At 33.3% G+C, this 24,134-nt stretch overlaps 1 long non-coding RNA gene across 2 annotated transcripts in view; it reads left to right on the forward strand.

Moving 5' to 3' along the window:
* The window catches only part of LOC105374188 (uncharacterized), a 76,972-nt gene extending 53,705 nt beyond the window's left edge, over positions 1 to 23,267 (forward strand). For both annotated transcript variants that reach the window (XR_924654.1, XR_924655.1), the window contains one exon: positions 23,199 to 23,267. This is a non-coding gene — a long non-coding RNA (uncharacterized LOC105374188). The remainder of the gene's footprint in view (positions 1 to 23,198) is intronic.
* Positions 23,268 to 24,134: the final 867 nt, after the last annotated feature.

Below are 24,134 nucleotides of genomic sequence, written 5' to 3' on the forward strand. Positions count from 1 at the left end.
CAAGAACACACTATTTTACAGAGCGAGACTACACCTCAAAAAAAAAAAAAAAAATTGCATGGACTAGATAAGCCTCTGAAAATTTGTTGATAGATAGCTTAAATATTATTTAACCTGTTTCAGAGCAAATAAAATGATAGAAAGCCCACAAATCATTCTCTTGTCCTAGTGTGGTCATAATACAAAATATGGTGGATAAACAACAAAATATGTTGTTTTTCCCTTTCTCCGAACAAACTATAAACTCTCAGCTTCAGATATACATGAAAAAATATATGATTTATCAAATACAGCAGATTTTAATAAGAAATACGCTATAAGCAAGAATGGTTTGTTTCAAATGTGGCAAGGATTTCTTAAGAATTAAACAAAGTATTCCTGTGATTTACTACACAGACTCACTTCAATAATGTTAAACAATGAGCCATCCATAAATTCATATGGCTTAAGAGGAGAAATTCTGGGCAACCATACAGTGCTTGATACAATACAATGCTTGATACAATACGATGTTTGATAAATTGGAGGATCTAATGCAAAAGGGTCCCTTGCTCCCTCTAATTCTTCAAAGTGGAACCCCTATATTCATTCACAAACTAATGTTCTTGAAACACTATTAAACAAGAGAGTGAATTTGTGAAAGAGCTTGTATTGTTTAGAGTAACATCTTTGACTACCTTACAGAATATTCAGGTACTGCATGAAGAAATGTAAAATTGCACCTATTTCCAGGACTCCTAATAAGATAATAAATCCAATGAATAGAAAACCAATGGAGGAAGAATCAGCAAGACATGTAAGACTGAAAACTAGAGAGCACTTTGAAAAGCTGCTTATCAAACGGAGTGCAATAAAGATAGGAAAGAACATAACCAACATGTGATTTTTTTGCAGATAAAAGAGTGCAGAATGTTCAATGACCAGATGCAAGATGAATTTTCTTTATTATATTGACAATTTTCAATTTCTGGGCTTAGAGTCTTAATTATGGGAGAAAGTAATGCAGAGAAAATACTACATAGACCAAGTGTCACGGCTTGAATGTCACTAAACTGAAATAGCAAGAAAATGACTAAGTAGATTTAACCTCCTTTATCTTTCAACAAGAATGACTAGTAAAATATAACATTAACAAATCAGGACCGGGCCCGGTGGCTCATGCTTGTAATCCCAGCACTTTGGGAGGCCGAGGTGGGCAAATCACAAGGTCGGGATTGAGAGCATCCTGGCTAACACGGTGAAACCCCATCTCTACTAAAAATACAAAAAAATAGCCAGGTGGTGGCACGTGCCTGTAGTCCTAGCTACTAGGGAGGCTGAGGCAAGAGAATCACCTGAACCCAGGAGGCAGAGGTTGCAGTGAGATGAGACTGTACTACTGCACTCCAGCCTGGGTGACAGAGCGAGACTCAGTCTAAAAAAATAATAATAATAATAAAAAAATAAAATCAAGCAACTGAATAATAAAGTTAAAATTGCAGAATAACCAAAAATATTAAAAACTAAAAGCCAGATTAGTACAGCTAACAGGTATGTAATAGTAACCTAAATAGGTGATGTAATAGTAACCTAAATAGGTGCCAGTACGGGACAGAGAGTCTAAAGGTTACTGACTGAAGATTTTATAACGAGGTGGAAAAAACTGTATTGAAGATTTAATATTGAAGACAAGGAGCTGGAAGTGACATCATCTGAATAAAAGTGGGACAAATAAGGGGCTACATCGTCCATGAAATAAAAGGAAAAAAAAGACTTAAAAAAAAAGGTATCAGTAGAAAATTTTACCTATGCTTCAAGCTCTGAGTAGGGAAAAAAATCTACAAAACTCCACCTAATAATCCACAATACACATTTATTAACTGAAAAGGTATTCCATTTTAGAAATAATGTTAAAAAATTAGAAGTCCAGTGAGATTTCTGAGGTAATGGAGACAGAAACATCAAAGTTATATATAAACAATATTAAACCAAGATTGCAAGGAACTTCTACAAAACAAAATGCCTCTGATCAAAGATCATGATTAAAATTACAAATATACTCACACAGACAAAAAGAGAGATCAAACGTGAAAAGGAATTAGGTGAAACATCAAAAAAGATTACGACACACCAAAATTAGGATAATATAATAATATTTTTTTTAAATGTGAAATAATTTTAAATAATTAAAAATTTTTAAACAGAGAAGAGACTTTGTAATGAAAAAGTAGAACATAATTACAAAGTCTAATTTTGGCAGATATAAAATATATTATCATTAAAATAAACTGTAGTCGTTAGGTTAAATTAGCACACTAGACAGAGTTAAAGAGAAAATTGTATGTATTGGAGAATATCGCTGAAGATATTATACAAAGGTGAAAACTACTGACTTTTGAAAAAGAGGACAATAGACATGAAGAACAGAGTATGACAATTTGAAAATAACCTACAATGAATTTCAGAATAATCATAGAATGTGGCAATGCAAGGAGAGGCAGTATTCACAAAGAGTGGAATATTTTGAGTACTGATGACAGATACATAATATTAAAGAATTAAAATTAGTTCAAGTAGCTTCATACTCTGAGACACTAATATCTGCTCATTGGCCAATTGGTATAAATAATATATTCCTTTGAATTATTATTAGTTATATAAATGGTGCTAATCAACTTTACATGAAGTAGAATCAAGTTGGGTGAGATATTTTAAAAATACAAAGCAGTCTCTAGACATTAGGCTTTGGACTTTTTACTACCTAGTGCTAGGTAGACCGTCAAAATTGCATATCTTCTTCAATCAGTGAAAGTGATTGGCACCTAAGTAAAATGCACATAGGCCCCACTGTGTCTTTTTTTCCTGATTTACCATTTTTAGATGAAGTGAACGCAAATTTATATTTTGAGAATAAAGTGTCACATATGGAAACTGTTAGTGATATTCAGTTTAAGATATATAGGCTAAATTGAAGAAAGGATCAAATTATTTAAATTCCAAATGGAATTAAATTTCATGAAAAAGAATCATGCTTTGCTTACATCTAAATATAATAACTTCTGTTTTTACATTAACCAATGAGAAATCAGCTGCTCTAATTGGAGAGAATTTGTTTAACTATTTGGTTAAATTTCTGGTTGTCAGAGATTTTTCTAAATTAAAAAAAAATCTGAAGAATTCTTATGCTAGTGGTAGCTGAAAATTCAATGTATTTTTTTTTCTTTTGTGGCCTCGTTTAAATTTTCATATTGTGATATTTTATTTTGAAAAGCAAGTTTAAAATAAAAAATATCTTCAAGAGAAAGAAAACAAAAATGATGAAAATAGAAATGAAGAAAATAGATGAAAAAGTAGGCAAGCTAGACAAAGTAGAATAGAATTTCTACAATGTTCTAGAATATAAAAATGTATAAAGTTGACATTAATAGAAGTTTAAAAATGCAAAATATGGAATTAAGAACTTCTGGCAAGGACTACTGGCAAGAGCAGATTAGATATGGGAGGGCACAACACTGGCGAACTAAAATACGTGTCAAAAGAGAACATCTGGGCCGGGTGCGGTGGCTTACGCTTGTAATCCCAGCACTTTGGAAGGCCGAGGCAGGCAGATCACGAGGTCAGGAAATCGAAACCATCCTGGCTGATACGGTGAAACCCTGTCTCTACTAAAAATACAAAAAAAAAAAAAAAAAAAAAAAATTAGCCGTGAGTGGTGGCGAGCGCCTGTAGTCCCAGCTACTCAGGAGACTGAGGCAGGAGAATGGCGGAATGGCGTGAACCCTGGAGGTGGAGCTTGCAGTCAGCCCAGATCGCGCCACTGCACTCCAGCTTGGGCGACAGACCAAGACTTCCTCTCAAAAAAAAAAAAAAGCATGTAAGCTGGATCACAAACAGAGAAAAGGAAAAAAAGAGCTTATGACACATGTGGTTCAGACCATTCAAACATTCTGACACACATTTAACTATAGTCCTAAAAGCAGACAGAAGACACAGTGAGGTAATGGAGACAGAAACATCAAAGTTATATATAAACAATATTAAACCAAGATTGCAAGGAACTTCTACAAAACAAAATGCCTCTGATGAAAGATCATGATTAAAATTACAAATATACTCACACAGACAAAAAGAGAGAGAGATAATATCAGTTTTTCTAATATTTAAGTGATGGTTTCTCTATGGCCTTCACAAGCAATTTATTTTATACATGTTATCCACTTGAATAACTTATTTTACTTCTACACCATTGACTCGGAAGCATTTTACAAACACATACATTCTCTTAATTATGCCTAAATCAATTAACTGTGTCCCTTTTAACTGTACCCATCACGTTTGAGAAAAAGTTAATTTTGTGTTATGGTGGGGTTAATAAAATTTACTACATAAATGCCTAATTTCCTCTCCCTTTGAAAGGGCTGCATATTGAATTAAGGTAATTTAATCAGTTTTATAATTCAATTCTAAACTATAAATGTTTGTGTTGTCTATTCTCAGAATAAGATAATAAGATTTCCTATGTTATCTGCCTGCTCAAATTGCCCCCAAACGCATACTCCAACTTCCATGCATAAATCTGTTTCTCTACCCACCTGAAAATCACTGGAGCAGTGAAAACCTATTCATAGACCTAGCCAATGTATCATATAGAACTTAGTTACTGTACTGAGATATACGTATATATACACACACACACACACCCATATATATTTAAATATACACACCCATATAAACATATATGTTACATATATGAGATACATTTTATTATATCTACTCTATTTTTATATTTAGTTTATTAACAAAAAAGCCATTTTAATATTGCCAGAAAATAGACCAATGAATCAAAATGGATTATTTCTTAGCCAGCTGACATGAGTTAAACAGAGTTCTGAAATATATAATTACATTGAATTTAATGGTGATATTTCAGATTAGAGAAAAAAATAAATGACTGCAAGAATGAAAAATTATTTTGAAAAACTAATAAATTTTTTTCTAAGTGATAAATCTTCCATTTGGCTTAAAAATCTAAATAATAATATTTAAAAATATATAAATTCCAGAGGAAATATAGAAGTGAATATATATCTATAGCATACAAGAGATAATACTTAAAATATAGAAAAATAACTTTAAAAGCTTTACAATAGCAAATTTAAAATATCTATAACCCAAAGATACCACAAGTAAAAATATTTGCAGTAAATAAGACATATTATTGAGTGCAAGTGCATGAGTTTTGCATGTTTTGGGGTGTGTTAGCCTAAGGAACTTTCATAATTATTTAAATGAGATAATTAGCCAATATGTGAACCAATTTCTATAAGTATACGACACATGTTGAATTTATAGAAAACAGAAAAATCATAAAAATCATATGATAAAAGGAAATATAATATTTTTGTATGCCTGGCAAAATACAATCTTTAGAAACAATCTAATATTGGCAAGGCAATGTAGAAAGAGTACTCTCATTTTTTATTGCTGAGAGTATAAATTATTAAAGTCCATTAAAAGGCATTTTTGCAGTATTTATTAAACTTTAGGATATCTACAAAATACTCTTACCCTGTGTATTAGTCCATTCTCACATTGCTATAAATAAATACCCGAAGCTGAGTAATTTGTAAAGAAACGGGGTTTAATTGATTGATGGCTCTGCAGACTGTACAGGAAACACAGAGGTTTCTGCTCCTGGGGAGGCCTCAGGAAGCTTTCAATCATAGTGGAATGCAAAGAGGGAGACAGTCATCTCCTATGTTGACAGCGGGAGCAAGAGAAATCAGGAGGGCAGGTGCTACACACTTTTAAATGACCAGATTTCAGGAGAACTCACTCACAATCATGAGCACTATATCTAGAGGGATGGTGCTAAATCATTCATGAGAAACTTCCCCCACGATACAATCTCTTCTCCCACCAGGCCCCACCTCCAATACTGGGGATTATAATTTGACATGAGATTTGGGTGGGGACATAGCTTCAAACCATATCATCCTGTGATATCGTAATTCTACTTCCTATTAGCTACCTTAAAAAAGCACTAATACATGTTTATATGAAGAAAATTATAAGAAAAATGTGTCATTATTTTCAATGTTAAAACAATGTGAAGTACCTACTTATTATAATAAGATTATTAAACAAATAAATGTTACATCTTTATTATAGGTTATTGACTAACATACAAAAATATTAATTAAAATTGATGTAATTTATATTTTTTGTTGTTCAATATTGGAATTCCACAACTGTTTATGAGAATTTTTTAGTGTATGATTTTTGGTGGATTTGGAAGCCAGATATTTGCTTTTTTCTAAGTGCCCTTGCTGCTACAGTGTGAGCATAGAAATAAGACTGGTCAATATACATCTAAAAGTAAAGCTGAAGTTATAAGCTTACTAAACAAAATAAGAATAAAATAACTGTGATGTAAAATTTGTCTTGGGTTAGAAAAAAATTGTCTTATACAGTATATAAGACAAACACACAAATGCACATACTCGGTAAAAGAAAAAAAGATAATTTGGCTTCATTAAAATTTAAAACTTTTAGTCATTAAAAGGCAGTGTCAAGAGAATGTAAAATCAAGCTACAAATTGCTAAAATATATTTGTGTATAATAAATAAATATAATACATTTGTATAGAATGAAGGTGATTATATCACATTACATGCTTGTATTAAAATACCTCATGTACCCTCTAAATATATACACCTACTATGTAGCCACAAACATTTTTAAAAATTAAAAAATATATAAACACAATGCAATAAGATGAAGAGTTAAATAAAATACTTGGGCAAGAAATTTTAAAAGACATTTCATCAAAGAAGATATATAAATGGAAATAAGCACATAAAACTATGCTCAACATCCTTAATCATTTAAAAATCTTAATTTGAGCAGCAATAAGATTCCATTGGAATGGCCAAAGTTAAAAAATCTGTTGATTTCAACAGATTTTTGTGTTCATGTGGAATGACTGGAATTCTCATAAATTGCTGGAGGAAGTTAAAATGATGTAACCACTTATAAAACGGTTTGGCAATTTCTTACAGACTAAAACTAAATTTTGTATAAACTTACCATATGATCCAGCAATCTATCTAAGTAATTAGCCCAAGAATAGCGGAAACACATGTCTATAAAAAGACTCGCATGTACATGTTCATAGGAGCATTATTCGTAATAGCTAAAAAATAGGGTCAAAAAGTAATACACATTGACTGGTAAATGTATAAGCAAACTGAATTACTTTGAGTTGAATATTACACAGCAATGAAGAAGGAGAAAATACAATACATGCACCAAGATGAATGAAACTCAAAAGCATTTTGTAAATGAAATTAATCACAATAGACTACAAAAAAAATGAGTCTGTTTATATGAAAATCTATACAGACCAAACAATGATAAGAATAAGTAGATCGAATGTTGTTGAGGGTCAGCGTCAAAGGAAGTTTATCTGTAAAGGATCACAAGGAAAATTGGTAAGGTGTTGGAAATGTTCTAAATTTAATTGGAGTTAACGTTTACATATTTTAAAATCATGAAATTGTACACTAAAATGTGGTGAATTTTGTTCTATATAAATATTACCTAAATAAAGCTGATTAAAACATTAGTTGTTAATATTGAAGCATGTCCATTTTAGCAAAGCATGATCTACAGGAGGGACCATAATCAGGTGACTAATGAAATCAATGAAAAAGGAAGGTAAATAAAAGCCTAGGTTTGAGTGGCTACTCTTTGTCAGGCGCTATGATAGATACTTTCCCACATATTTTCATGGCAAATAGTAAATGCAATATGGTAAATGCAAGGAACGACAAGCAGTACAATCTCAGCTTATTTATGAAATTTTGTTTTATTGCATTACCACAAGGAAATATATACTAAAAATGTGTTTCACCGGGCGTGATGGCTCACGCCTGTAACCCCAACACTTTGGGAGGCCAGGTGGGCGGATCACTTGAGGTCAGGAGTCCGAGACCAGCTTGGCCAACAGGGGGAAACCCCGTCTCTACTAAAAATACAAAAATTAGCCGGGCATGATGGCAGGCGCCTGTAATCCCACCTACTCGGCAGGCTGAGGCAGGAGAATTGTATGAACCTGGGAGGCAGAGGTTGCAGTGAGGCGAGATCATGCCACTGCACTCCAGACTGGGTGACAGAGCGAGACTCTGTCTCAAGAAAAAAAAAAAAAAAAAGGTGTTTCATTTCTGCAGTTACATTTTCAAACTTTAGCAGCAAAGCATTTGAAGTCCTCATGTTGACGTTTCTACTTGATTTTTCTCAAGCCTTATTGTAATTATTAGTAATGAGAAGTGAAACAGCAAGCTTTTTTAACCTGGATATAAGTTCATTTTACTGTAAAATGTGTTGAAATAATATATATTTTTGAGGAGAGTACCATTTTGTTTCACGCTTAGGAAATTACTTACCATAATAAAACATGTATATATGATTTGATTTTCTATCTAAAAATTATTTCTGGGAAATCATTTTCTCATTACTTAGTTTACTAAGATGCTTTTTAGAGGGAGGTGGTCATCTGAAATACATAGCAATTCTATAGTTTGGTAAACATGGCAGTTCTTTAGGTATTTATCATCCATTATTTTCTGAAAAGTCATAGGACTCTATACATTGGCTCGGTTTTCATATAGTAAATAAAATATTTTAAAAATGATTTCAATTTTGAAGTCATTTCAAAAATCTCTTCTCGGATTTAGATTTTATATTTTTATATGACAATATTCTGCCTGTACTAAAGTGAACATATTTTACAGCATATAAAACTGTCTGGAAATAGTAACAGCATGTAAAATAAATTGTAAGCAAATGTAAACTAGTAGATGTTTATAAGTTATAGACCCTTTCCTTGTAGGAAGCCTCTCAAATGTTGTCGTTCACTTATTGATTTTTTACTGAAATATTTTTAATGTAAATATCCATGTCATTCAACCAAGTACAAAACATAATAATATAACTGTTTTAATAGTTATTTAAATTGACATTTATTATTTTTATGACTAAATTTTATAAGTAAATAATCATTCATTTAACATTTAATAAAGATTTCGATTAGAATTATTTTTCTAGCTACTATTCTTATGTAATTCATTGAAAATTAAAAAACAGTATCAGTGTTAAAATTGTTTAGAGATTCAATCTGAACTTTCATTTATCTTTTTATAATACTGTCATATTTAAAAATGATGAAAATTCATAAAATTCATAACTATTTGTTTATTCTAACATTTACAGAGTGTTATTAAAGTGGTAACACCTTTTTAGGAGTATATTAAATTATTAAGTAAAAATGATAATTTTTCTGGTTTTACTCCAGGTTAGATTATTTTTTTCTTAATTCCAGTTGTCACCTTCATGATACTAATAATATCATGTTGATATAGTTTAGATATTTGTCCCCACCCAAATCTCATGTTGGATTGTAGTCCCCATGCCTGGAAGTGGGGCCTGGTGAGAGGTGTTTGGATCATAGAAGTGGATCCCTCATGGCTTGGTGCTGTCTTTGCGATACTGACTTATCATAAGACAAGGTTGTTTGAAAGTCTGTGACATCTCCCCCCACCCCTCTCATTTGCTGGCCTCCATTCTCCCTATGTGATGTGCCTATTCCCCTTTGACTTCCACAGTGATTGAAAGCTTCCTGAGTCCTTCCCAGAAGCAGATGGCACTATGCTTCCTGTACAGCCTGCAGAACCCTGAGCCAATTAAACCTCTATTCTTAAAAATTTCCCAGTCTGGGCATATTTCTTTATAGCAATGCAAGAATGGCTTAATACAATCTATTTCAGTTCTTATCATCAAATTCATGGGACATGGATGCTTTAAGTGTCCCTAAGCCATCATAACAGTGGATTAAGTAAAAAGTGGCTTTGAATAAATAGTAAGCTTGTCATCCAAAACTTGTGCATTAGAAACAAAAATGTGTTTGTGTGTGTGTGTGTATGTGTGTGTCCTTAGCTTCTTGGTTATCAGGATGTTGGAGATTGCATTTAAGAAACAACTCTGTTCTGTGATGTAAATTTGTAGTATATAACTTTCTCATAGGTAAGGCAGTTATAAATAGTAATGAAATATGCCATATTGTGTTTTTAATATGAACAAATGCTAACTACAAAATTGTTTCTTGTAGTTTTTTCTCATGAATTTGATCTTGTAAGAGACCTCCCTATAATATCACAAGCAGTACTGTGTAATATTTATGCCAGATTACTAGTTACTAGAAGCTAGTAAAAGTTACTCTGCTGTTACTAGTTCTTGAACTTTACATAATAATATTAACCTACCAAGGTTGTAAAACTGAATGCTGATATTAATTCTTATAGTAGGCAGTGGATAGGAGAGAGGAAATAAGAGTAGTCATCAGCTATATTGTCTTGGCAACATTCCTATATTTTCTGTAGCTTACAATATTTTCTCTTATGAATCACTGCAAATTCCACCACTTGGATGTTTGCAGTTGCACTTTTTATGTGAGTTACAGAGCTGCTAGAGCTTGCACAGAATTAAATGTCAGATAAAATCAACACAAGTGTTTAATGATATGAAATAAACCTGACCAGGGCTTAGGGGATTCTTCATATTAGCAAATGAGTTTCTATGAGTAAGCACAAGGAAAATTTAAATGCATACTTTTACTCTGTAAGAAAATTATGGAGTTTAAAAAATAATATTTTTGTTATTACTTATTGAATAATACTTGTATATATATGTGTGTGTGCTTGGTTTATTAGAACAATTTAACTCATTCTAAATATTCTTCATGTAATTTCAAGGAAGAGCATTTGATTATGAATTTCAGGTTAATTTTGTTTAGGGATTTTAAGAATATTATGATTCTATATCAATGTTCATTATTATATTATAACGATTCAGAAATAAAAAAGTATTTAATAGATAACATATAAACTTTTAAATTTTTTTCATTAAAATTTAAATGATAAAAATTCACTCTCGAAAAAAATAGACACAGATTGAGTTAGGCCACAAAACACATTAATACATAATTTCTCACATGGGCTGGCATTGATTGCAGCTTTTCCAGGCCCACAGTGCAAGCTGCCAGTGGAAATACCATGCTGGAGTCCACAGGACAGTAACCCTCTTCTCACAGCTCCATTAGGCAGTGCCCTAGTAGGGATTCTGTGTGAGGGCTTCAATTCCACATTTCCCTTTCACACTGCCTTAGCAGAGGTTCTCTGTAAGGGCTCTGTCCCTGAAGCACATTTCTGCCTGGACATCCACGCATTTCATTGCATCCTCTAAAATCGAGGCAGAGGTTTGCAAACCTCAATTCTTGACTTCTGTGCACCTACAGACTCAACACCATGTGGAAGCTACTAAAGCTTGGAGCTGGCACCCTCTGAAGCAATCACTTTAGCTGTACTTTGGCCTCTTTTAGCCATGGCTGAAATAGCTGGGACACAGGGCACCAAGTCCCAAGGCTGCACACAGCAGGGGTGCCCTGGACCTGGCCCAGGAAACCATTTTTCCCTCCTAGGCCTCTGGGTCTGTGATGGGAGAGGCTGCCATGAAGGTCTCTGACATACCCTGGAGACATTTTTCTCATTGCCTTGTCAATTAGCATTTGGCTACTTGTTACTTATGCAAATTTTTGCAGGGGACTTGAATTTCTCCCTAGAATATTGATTTTTCTTTTCTACTGCATCATCAGGTTTCAAATTTTTCAAATATTTTTGCTCTGCTTTCTCTTGAACACTTTGCCACTTAGAAATTTCTTCTGCCAGATATGCTAAATTATCTATCTCAAGTTCAAAGTTCCACAGATCTCTAGGTCAGGGGCAAAATACCGCCAGTCTCTTTGAATACCAAGAGCGACCTTTACTCCAGCTCCCAACAAGTTCCTCATTTCCATCTGAGACTACCTCAACCTGGACTTTATTGTCCATATCACTATCAGCATTTCAGCCAAAGCTATTCAACAAGTCTCTAGGAAGTTCCAAACTCTCTCACATCTTCCTATCTTCTTCTGAGCCCTCCAAACAGTTCTAATCTCTGCCTGTTACCCAGTTCCTATGTCACTTTCACAGTTTCACATAACTTTACAGCAGCATCCCATGCTCTGCAGTACCAATTTATTGTATTAGTTCTTTTTCATGCTGCTAATAAAGACATACCCAAGACTGGGTAATTTATAAAGGAAAGAGGTTTAATTGTCTCACAGTTCAGTATGGCTGGGGAGGCCTCAGGAAATTTACAATCCTGGTGGAAGGGAAAGCAAACCTATTCTTCGTCACGTGGCAGCAGCAAGAACTGCAGAATAAGTGGGAGAAAAGCCTCTTATGAAACCATATGATATTGTAAGAACTCAGTAACTATCATGAGTACAGCATGAAGGTAACCTCCGTGAGTCAATAACCTCCCACCAGGTCCTTGCCATGACACATGGTGATTACGGGACCTACAGTTCAAGATGAGATTTAGGTGAGGACACAGCCAAACCATATCAATGAGAGTGAAATATTGAGTATATATGGACACAAAGAAGGGAATAACAGACACTGGAGCATACTTGAAGGTAAGGTGGAAGATAATAGACGATGGAAAAACTACCTATCAGGTACTATGCTTATTACCTGTGTGATGAAATAATTTGTACGCCCAGCCCGCATGACATTCAATTTACCTGTTTACACTTTACAAGTTTGACATGTACTCCTGAACCTAAAAGTTTTTGTTAAAGAAAATAAATATATCAAAGAGATTTTTTTAATTAAAAAAAATAAGGAATGTGCTATATTGTAGCACATCACCAGCCCGTAAACTTGACTGTGGCTGGATCGTCTAGATGAACTTGTAAAATATATAAATAAACACAAGGTTAAAATTATTTCTTGAAAAAAATACAACTCATTGAAAATTAAAAAAAAAAACACATAATTTTATTATGCAAAACAGTAAGTAGCATATAGGAGAGAAATTCTTAGAAATAAATGAAGAAATTTAAAGATATTTATTGGACAATCTTTAACAAAATAATTTCACAATATTGAGAAATGATTAGAGAAATCTAGAAACTAATAGATGCCACACTTTTCACCACTGTAACCAAATAAGATTATATAGTTGGACAGAAAGAATATAATGGCCATCTTTTTAAGGTGAGCACACTCAAAGTTGACTGCCCATAATTGCCTCCTCCTGGTATTCACATCTGTTTAATCCCTTCCCCTTGAGTGTGGGCAGGACAAGTGATCTTACTATAACCAATAGTACATGGAAAGATGATGGAGTTTTGAAGGTGTAATTAAGGTCTCAAATCATCGGTTTTGTGTTAATCAAAAGGGAAGTGATCCTGGTAGGGTCTAACTTAAATCAAAATTATTGAAGGAGGAACTAAACACTTCTTGAGAAGACAGAGTCCCCCTTTTTGGCTTTGATGGATTAAAATGCCATGTTGATAAGAAGGTCTGTGGAAATGGCCACATGGCATGAAACGTCTAGGAGTCTCTGGAGCTCTAGGAGCTGATGGTGGCAACTGGTGATATTCAAGTAACAGTTCTCTCACTTCTTTTTTATTTCATTTTATTTTATTTTTGAGACAGAGTCTCACTCTGTCACCCAGGCTGTAGTGCAGTGGCGTGATCTCAGCTCACTGCAACCTCCACCTCCTGGGTTCGAGAAATTCTTCTGCCTCAGCTTCCCAAGTAGCTGGGATTAAAGGTACATGCCACCACGCCTGGCTAATTTTTGTATTTTTGGTAGAGATGGAGTTTCGCCATGTTAGCCAGACTGGTCTTGAACTCCTGACCTCAGGAGATCCACCCACTTCGGCTTCCCAAAGTGCTGTGATTACCGGCATGAGCCACCAATGCCAGGTCCAGTTCTCTCACTTCTATAGTAGATAAATCCTTCTAACAAGCTGAGGAAGATGGGAAGCAGATTTTCCCCCTTTGAGTTTCTGATACTACTACTTCTAACAAGCTGAGGAAGGTTGGAAGCAGATTTTCCCACTTTGAGTGATACTACTACTGATCAGACTACCCTTTATTGCAGACTTTTATGACCCTGAGGTGAGGACCCTAGACTCCTGATGCATTGAAGCTGTGAGATAATAAATTGTGTTGTTTTAAGCTGCTAAACTTGTCATAATTTGTTATGTAGCAGAGGAAAACTAATATGCTTCCCAATATACTTTTAAAGTCAGATAATGAGGAACAGCATTCTCTGACTGTGGCTTATTAAATTAAGAAAAATATGCTTTTAAAACTAGAAGATTTAAATAAAGGGCAAAATATAAGAAAGTTTTCAACACTCCTAATTTATATATGATTAAAAATCAAAAGCAAACCCAATTTATCTTCATTCAAATAAAAATAAAATTAGAAAGATGTTAACTTTTTCTGTTTGGTTAACTACCCTATACCCGGATACTAGCATAGTGTCTCTCTCATAGTAGAATTGTTACTTCTCTACAGCCTTTAACAGTATTAGTGAAATTGTGACATTTCTTTAGGTTAGTAAAATGGGAGCATAAGCAAAATGTTTGTCTCTCCTAAGCTTTGAGAGCCAATATATGTATTAGCAAATTCCCTTTTTCTTCTTTGGAAATTATAGGTACATGTGTCAAAGCAGAAGCTCTCTTGTTAACTCACTTATCAACTCAAATGAGCAGAGCCTTCATGACAGGGAGTATGACAAAGAATGAAACATTCACTACACTAAGCCATGAAGGTTTGGGTTTATTTGTTACTGCAGCAAGAATAATATAAAAAAAGGGGGTGAGATATTCTTGAAGTAGGGCAGGTGCTACTGTGGGAAAGTGAAAACACAAAAAACTTTGTGTTGTTTTAAGAGTCAATTAATTTAATGGGTTGGAAGATATTAGTACCGGAGTCTATAAGAAGAGTAATATATAGTGACAAAACATTTGGCAAAACTGTCACTATGATAAAGTAGGACGCAGAATATACAATTGAACTTTTATTTATATGGTTAGATGCTAGAAAACATCATCTTAGTATGGGTATATGGGTTATCAATGGTTTCAACAGATTAGGTACTATTTTTGAAAAGATAGTTGTGGGAAAATTAAACCTAGTAAATTTGAAGTAGAATAAAAAAGAAACAGAGAGGCTAGAAATTTAGGGACTTAGCAGGTTGGAAAACACAAATTTTTCTCAACTTCCAAAGGCAAAAAAATAAGCTGAGTTAAGACTTTGAGCTATAAAGGTCAATGATAACTTAGAAATGTGTGAAAGATCAAAACATTGGAACACATGTTTGGAATTATATGAGTAAAGTAGTACCATTCAATCTGTTCAATTAGAAGAAATAACTCAAGCCAAGAGTATAACGCTCTTGCAAAAGCCTAATAAGCCCATACTAGCCACATTAGGTAAAGAGAGAAAAAGAAAGAGATCTGGGTCTGGGGCCAAAAATAAATACAGTAAATAAGAGAATTATTGTGTCTAGAAAGGAACTGTGTGCTACAATGTGTGATTATAGCCGTTTAACACATACAGTTAACTTGATTAAAATAGATCAGAAGCTTATTGATTTAAGTCTACTTTAATCAACACATGCACCACAATCCTGTACTAAATAACAATAAAAACACCCGAGTGCTCACATATATTAACATACAGGAGGTGCACTGAAAAAGCTGCTCAGGCACAGGGCATGTTTTCAGATACCAGCTTCAAGTGTGGGCAAGGATCGGAATCAAAAGCAAGTTTCATCCAGAAAGTGAAGCCAGTAGTCATGGAGAAAAAATGGGCAAAGTTGCTCAGGAAAAGCTTTTCCATCCTCTGGTTAGGGCAGTCTATCAATAAATGCAAAAGTGGGATTTGGCAACTATTAATTAAATTATGTATAAGTTAGGCTTCATTCTTACGATTTTACTTTTTGACCATTTACATCTTTAGTTTTATTTTTAATTCATTGCAAAATGTACATAATCTTATATTGAAATTTATAAAACTTAAGATTTTTACTTTGGTTTTTGCATTAATTTTTTAAAAATATACTATTAAAAAGAAACATGCATAATCTTTGGTAGTTTCATCTTTTTTTCCTTACATACTGTGTATTCCCCTGTTCAATTCGTATTTTATATTTACTTTTTGTTGTACTATATTTATTTTTCAAATATATATTTAAACATGGCAGGAATAATTCAGTTACAATGGGTGTTGAAATTATCTAAAAGTAAGAGGTGACAAAAAACAAAATATAATAGTTGTTTTATTTTCTAAACTAGCAGAAGTAAAGCTATGAACATGAATAATTTGGAATACATATACATATTATATATTATATATTATATATATATATATATAGAGAGAGAGAGAGAGAGAGAGAGAGAGCAAATAGATATACACATATCTATCATCTATTTGGTATATATATAGATACACCAAATGATAGATATACACATAGCTATCATCTACCTATTAATAACATGTATTTATTTCTTTTCTACTTCTTGTTAGCTTTATTCTCTCAAGTTAAAACTCATCACAAATTTCTTCTTTCTTACATTCAGCTTTTTCAGTGATGGTAATTTGCCTTGAATGATCTGCTCATTTCACATCTTTTAAAAATATTTCTTCTTCTTCTTTTTCATAGGTCTGATTATTATTTTTACAAATATGTTTATTTTAGGAAAAGAAGGTCTAGATTGATGTCTACTGGTGATGACTTCTATGGCATCCTTTAAGAATCATGTCACTGTTCAGTATTCTGAGGGACAAAAATACATTTTCTATTTCAGTTAGCCCTTGTGTAAGCTGAAGAAAATAAGGAAAAATATATTTTACATATTCCAAAATCTCTTCAAGAGAAAATAAATTGAACCTGCGTAACACAGAACAATTACAAACTATGATTTAGCTTGTTAATTAGAGATGACAAAGTGAACAAAACTTTTTTGGTAAACATCTACTGTACTGATATCCCACTCTTGTTCTGAAGTCAGAATACTCTCATTTTCCTGGGATTTTTATTTCAAATGATTGAAATTATCAACAGAACGTTAAGTCCTGGACCATATTCTAACATTATTTTGTGGTCTCAGAAAGGAAAAATGACACAATAACTCTAAAGGATGTCATTAAAATGAGCCAGATGTTCAACATAGCAATTCCAGTCTTATTGGTTCTTGTCCCAACATTTTTCTTCTGAAGTTAAGTGCTTTCTTCTCACTTGTTTAAATCACTTTTAGTGCCCATCCAGTCATGAAGACCTAAATTTTTCTGTACTGGCTTTATGTTACTTAGAGAAAAGAAGTTAATACTCATTGCTGAAGTTATATACAGTTTGTAAAGTATCCTTTATTTTAGCATATTAACAACTTTTCCTATAATTAGAATGAATAAACTAGATGTTTTACCTATGTAATCATCCATCCAAGTGAGAGTTTATGAAAAAAATTCACTTTCCTATCCATCCAGTTTACTCAATACCAAACTAGTGAAGTATCAAGGTTTTTTTCCCAATGGAAATATTTAATGTGTGTATTGGTTGACTGGGATGTTTGACATGAAAATTTCAGTTTATTTGGAAGATTTCCAGCAGATGTTTGATTTCTTGAATTAGTAGCTTGCCTATGAAGTTTTTAAATGGCATAATCTCTCTTACATTGCTTTCCATATGAAGTGAAGCCTGAGTGTGTAGCCCATGGTTAGCTGTTACGTGTATTGGTCACTGAAGGAAGCCCTAAATTTCTTGTAGTTGATTCCTCTGAGTATTCACCAAGGCTGCCCAATTGTCCAAACCCTGTGAGGTGTTACAGTTGCATATGTACAGTTAGAATATTAATTTTTAGAGTCAATAGGAAAGAAAATGCCCAATGATTCAGGATTTTTACCAAATATGCTAACTCATTTTTTTCCTTCCAAGGCTCTTAAATGGCATTCAAATGTTTGCTGTGGTTAAATCCCTTCTCTTTGTCTCTGCTGCCCACATTGACAGACTTCAATGCCATATCCCTCAGTTCATTTTTAAACCGATTACCAGCTACTCTGTGTGGAAATAACTAGCATGAAATTTAAATCCCTTCAGTTTTTTCTTTATTACCCATCTTGACTTGTTTTCAGTTCTTCAGTTCTGAACTTTTATTGTTTTCAGGGCTCATTTAGAAAACCTGCTCACTTATTCCTCCAGGTTTTCCCCTTTTGCCTGCTTTAAATCACAGGCTATTCTGCATGGATTAGTTTTGTCCTCCATCTGTTCCCATCTGCTTCATGTCTTCCAGACAGTGCTCAAAATTCTGCTTCATTGAAAACACCCTATGTCCAAATAATGCTAAAATTGTTTTAAAAAATATTTTCAAGTATCCTTTGAGAGGAAGGAGAAAATACATGTGCTAAGTTATCTTCTTTTAAATAAGATAATTGAATGTACTCATAATGTCCCAGCTTCTGTCTGTATTTGGCTTATTATCTCTTCTATTTTATCTCTGTTAAGCATTCTGTCCCATAGGGTTTTGCATAAAAAATAATAGTGAGAAATATTAAATACTCCCATTCGTAATTGTCTTTGATTGAAAAGTCTCCATTATTCTCAAATACTAAAAGATATTCTGTCAAAAGATAAAATTTTTCATTTAACATTGGCCACTGTCTGTATTTTCAAAGCCTATCTTTTCTCTGTGTGTGTGTGTGTGTGTGTGTGTGTGTGTGTGTGTTTGTGTGTGTGTGTGTTTGACCAAAGAAGTTCCTGTAATCAGAGAAGCAGAAAGAGCTGGCTGGGTCCCAGGACAGGATATTCTTTCTAGCCTATTTCAGCCTAATCTAGAGTTTAACTAATCTAAACTTTCAACCTCTCAAGAGGATGTGAACTCCAACACAAAGGATGCTTACTTTGTGTCTAAGTTGATATTTTGGACACTATTATCAACTTAACCTTCTTCATCACCATTAGCAGCTGGATAATTATTAGTTACTTCTTTGTCATTTTGTTTCTCCTGTCATTGCTGTAAGCATGATTTTAGAATAAATGTTAATTTTTGCATTTGACATTATGTAGATGACAAAAATTTGATATATAGCCAATTTTTTACATTATTTATATATAATATTTCAAAAACTCTTTATGTACTTGCAGTAAAATTTGCCAAATTGTTCCCCTACTTTATTTAAAACTTTCATTAGGCTTAATAAATCTTCTATGTAGAAACACATAAGGATAACCTGTTTAAAAATTGTCTCTTATTTATCTATTTAATTCACTTGGAGATTATTCCACTGTGAGGTCTAATGTGGAGTAATGTTGCAAATGAACACAAGTAGTACAATTTCTTATAAGGTGACAGACTATAGCACCTTACTGTAAATGCTTAGATTCACATTTTCTAGGCCAAACCAAAGTTTGCTCTAATTTTAAAATAATCAGTAATTTTCAAAGTAGACAATTCTAAATATTATGCCTTTCACACAAATTTGACTTTCACTTGAATTGCATTTTGTTTGCTATTTTAGGTTTATAGATATGTCCAATATGACTAAGGCTTTGTCAACTGATATTATTTTATTATTTATTTTTTTGAGATGGAGTTGCGCTCTGTCGCCCAGGCTGGAGTGCAGTGTCGTGATCTCGGCTCACTGAAAACTCCACCTCCCGGGTTCAAGCGATTCTCCTGCTTCAGCCTCCCAACTAGCTAGGATTACAGGCACCCCCCCACCACGCCCAGATAATTTTTGTATTTTTAGTACAGACCATGCTGGCTAAGCTGGTCTTGAACTCCTGACCTCAGGTAATCCACCCACCTCAGCCTCCCAAAGTGCTGGGATTACAGGTGTGAGCCACCGTGCCAGGCTGTCAACTGCTATTATTTTAATTAATATTGAGAGATCATGTTGGAGGACAATTTGAAAATAAAGAACAACCTTCAATATATATTAAACTATTTATTTTATCAAACTGTTACTTTACTTTCATATAATTATTGTACCATCTTACACAGTAGTTTCAACATGTAATAGATGAGATATTGAAATTTGCCAAATACCTGATGACATATTAATGATTCATTATAACACTTTTGGTTAAACTCATGCTGCATTACATGTGAGAAACTGTCCCTAAATCTTTTGCTGTGCCACCCGAATAAGTTATTTGTAAATCTATTTAGAGAATATTGTCCATATTTTTATGCATCAATGGCTAAGAGCAGGAGTTATATTTTTTAAATGTGATCCTGACTTTTTTTGATCTATAAAGTTGAAAAAATTACTGATCTCACATATTTCTCAAAAATAGAAATCATAAATGTACATTTTCAAATGGATGTTGTAAATATCTATGAGTTGATTTAATTAAAACTAAGAGTGGAGTCTGGCATTATCACATGGGCTCAATAATTCATTTTCTACTGTTCTATCTGCCTATTGTATATCTTTCTAGCTTCTCATCTAGCTAACTAGATTTTTAAAAATTATCTTATGTTGTGATATCAAACAAGCCATTTTCATCAAATAACAAAATTTATTTCACATTTACATGCAGTCCATGGTGGTTGGGGTAACTCTCTATAGAAATTGTCCTCTATGTTGGTTAATTATTCCAAGCTGCTTTGATGTGGATGCTACCATATGAATACTTAATTTTAAGATTGTAGTGGCATGGCAAAAATGATCTTAACTACTTTCACATACAAGCGGTATTCATACTTGTGATCATAGTTCATTAGTTAATGAAGACATCTGGCTATGCCAAACTTCAAGGTAACTAGAAACTTTAGTTCTCTGGTATCCCCATTTGGGAAAGAAAACTAGAAGTATTGAAGAGCAGTAACAACATGTACCACCTACCTATCAATCAACTACCCTTCTACTTAGAAATTGAGAGCACCATAAATACTGAATCTTCAGTACTCATTTTGAGAGGAGGAAACTAAAATCTGGAGAGAGAAAATTATTTTCTTAGAATAGTAAGATATACGAGTGATAGAGCTAAGACTCATAAGCAAAACTTCCTAATCCTTAGTTTTCAATAAACTTTTCATTATGAAAAGGTAGAATTAAAATAATTTCAATTGAATACTGTAAAATTAAAAGTGCAGTGGGTACATAGAAATAATGGAGCTTTAAGACGATCAAAACTATACAAATGTTTTGGAAATAGGTATGGAGAAATAGAGATAGCCTCTAGAAATATGCAAATTTAATGTCTAACTGAATAAATTAAAGTTGTAGCAACCAGTATGAAACAAACACCCAGTGGTGAGTAGCTTTCCACCACATCCCCCTTAAACAGTTTTACCGACAAATGTCTCTAGTGATGCACCACTCCATGAGCATCTTTCTTAAACACTAGAGAGACCAGATTTTTTACAAATTCCAAATGGATGTTTTCCAGCAAGATTCATTGAGAGAACCACAAAAACCTCTCTGCCATTCAGTGAGTTACAAATCTCTTCAACAAGGTCTAGCTCTAAGACCAGGAAGTGTCTTTCATGAATGCTTTATCTTAGCTGTAGGGGTAATGACTGCTCTTTATGTCTGCTATACTCATCTTTTTAGAGCTCTCTTAACTTCTTACTAGGCAATTCCTTATCACTTTATTTGCTTGTTTTATATATCAATTATTTACATTAAAATTTTCCAGTTCAAATGATTGTGCAATTTCTCTCTCATGATTGGAATCTGACTGATACATATTAAAACCTAAATGAAATACACAGCTCTGTTTAGGCCAAATACTCACAAATTTCAAAAATGCTTGTTTGCTTAATAGAAACTTATAATTATTTTAACTTATTAGTAAAACCCCTGTACAGTATGATACAGTTCCAAATAAGTGCTCAGTATGTGTTACTTGAATTTGAATGAAGAACTCATCTGAATCTGAATTAAATTACAGTCGTGCTCTATAACAACATTCCAGTCAAGATGAACTTCATAAATGGTGGTCCCATAAGATTACAATAGAGATGAAAATTTTCTATCATCTAGTAATATCATAGCCATCATAACATTGTACTTTAATTCATTACCCATGTGTTCACAGTGATGCTGGTGTAAATAAATATACTGTGTTGCCAGTCATATAAAAGTATAGCACATACAATCATGTACAGTCATAATACTTGATAATGATAATAAATGACTGTTACTGGTTTATGTATTTACTATAGCATACATTTTATCTTTATTTCAGAGTGCACTCCAACATACATATAAATAAAACATATACCTCTATATGTATATATGTCTGTATGTGTATGTGTATATATATGTACACTATACATAAAAACTATATATGTATATAAACTATAAGACAGCCTCAGTCAGCTCCTTCAGAAGGTATTATGGAAGGCATTGCTCTCATAGGAGATGACAGCTCTCTCTGCGTTATTGTCAGTGGGACAAGATTTGGAGGTGAAAGACGAAAGATTTGGAGGTGAAGGATTTGGAGGTGAAAATTATAGACAAAGGATATAAAGAAAAATAAAATGTTTGTATAGCTGTAAAATATGTTTGTGTTTTAAGCCATTATTAGAAGAGTGGAAAAGTTAAAAATTTATAAAGTAAAAAGTTACAGGAAGCTAATTTATTATTGAAGACTGAACATATTTTACAAATATAGTGTAGCCTAAGTCTAGAGTGATGTACAGTAATGTCCTAGGCCTTTGCGTTCACTCACCACTGACTCCAGACTCACGCAGAGCAACTTCCGGTCCTGCAATGACAAAACTGCCAAACAGCACATTTCTTGGGAAATATCCCTGTCATTACGTGATGCATGAGTGTGTGTGTGTTCATTGAGAAAGATACTGAACCCAAGATATAAGAAGTTAGGGAAACCAGCTTCAAGAGATTTGGCAACTAAAGAATAGGAATGTTGGCCGGGTGTGGTGGCTCACGGCTGTAGTCTCAGCAGTTTGGGAGGCCAAGGTGGGAGGATCCCGAGGTCAGGAGATTGAGACCATCCTGGCCAACATGGCGAAACCCTGTCTCTACTAAAAATACAAAAAATTAGCCTGGCGTGGTGGCAGGTGCCTGTAGTCCCAGCTACTCGGGAGGCTGAGGAAGGAAAATCACTTGAACCCGGGAGGTGGAGGTTGCAGTGAGCTGAGATGGCGCCACTGCACTCCAGCCTGGGTGACAGAGTAAGACTCCATCTCAAAAAAAAAAAAAAAAAAAAAAAAGAATATAAATGATTCAGATACGAAATTATCAGTTACATTAAATGAATTTATATTTTTGTTTTATTATAGTGACAACAGTGAATAGCAGAAGGAAGAATAATACAATTTTTAAAAAGGAGACTCTAGAGATGTCACAAAAAAGGATATAAGTACAAGAGTGAGTTTTCTCTGCAAAATGTGTGTGAAACTTAACAGTCACATTAATTATGTCACATATATTATGCAAATACAATTTAAAAAAGGAAAATTGTGATTTAAAGGTAACTTAAATATTAAGCTATATATCACTATTATCTGGGCCTTTTTCAAGCAAAATCTAAAGTTTATTATTCTGATAAATTAAAGACATTATTTACTAACAATTTGCTATGAATAACCTAATGGAATTGCATCCTATAATAATGAAAACTAATGCTGTTATATGCCCACATTTTATCCTAATTTTTCAGCATTAATTTTTAAAGAATAATAACTTTAATTAAATGTTTATAACCCCAAGATAAAAAGAATATTAGACTACCTCATGGTTTTCCTGTTAGCAGTCTGCAAGTACTATGAAAATACAATTTAAAGATTAGACTGTTAGGCATACACTTGTGAAAAATCAGTGTTAAACTCAACAATGCTCTAGTTTGTTTGTTTTTAACTCTAAATTTCCACAATTTCTTGGAGAAGAATAAGTGCATGCAGTGTTTGCAATTTTAGACCTTTTGCACTCGAAGTGATTTCATGACAAAAATTTCTGTAGGAGCTTAAAGAAACATAGTTATTTTACATCTGGTTTAACTCAAAAGTGGCTGAAGAAATTTACCTCATGTTTTCTAGCAAAAATAAAAATTAATCTTTTTTGCGTTATCAGTTGTAATATATATGTCCAAGAATAGTATTGTTTGATTATTGTTGAGCACTATCCTAAATTACATATCAGGGAAATTATTCATAACTAAAAGAAGTAAACAATAGCAATTAATAATCAACACTATCTCTAAAAGTAGCACCAAATAT

The sequence above is a fragment of the Homo sapiens genome, chromosome 3 (genome assembly GCF_000001405.40).
Source record: "Homo sapiens chromosome 3, GRCh38.p14 Primary Assembly".
Lineage (NCBI taxonomy): Eukaryota > Metazoa > Chordata > Mammalia > Primates > Hominidae > Homo > Homo sapiens.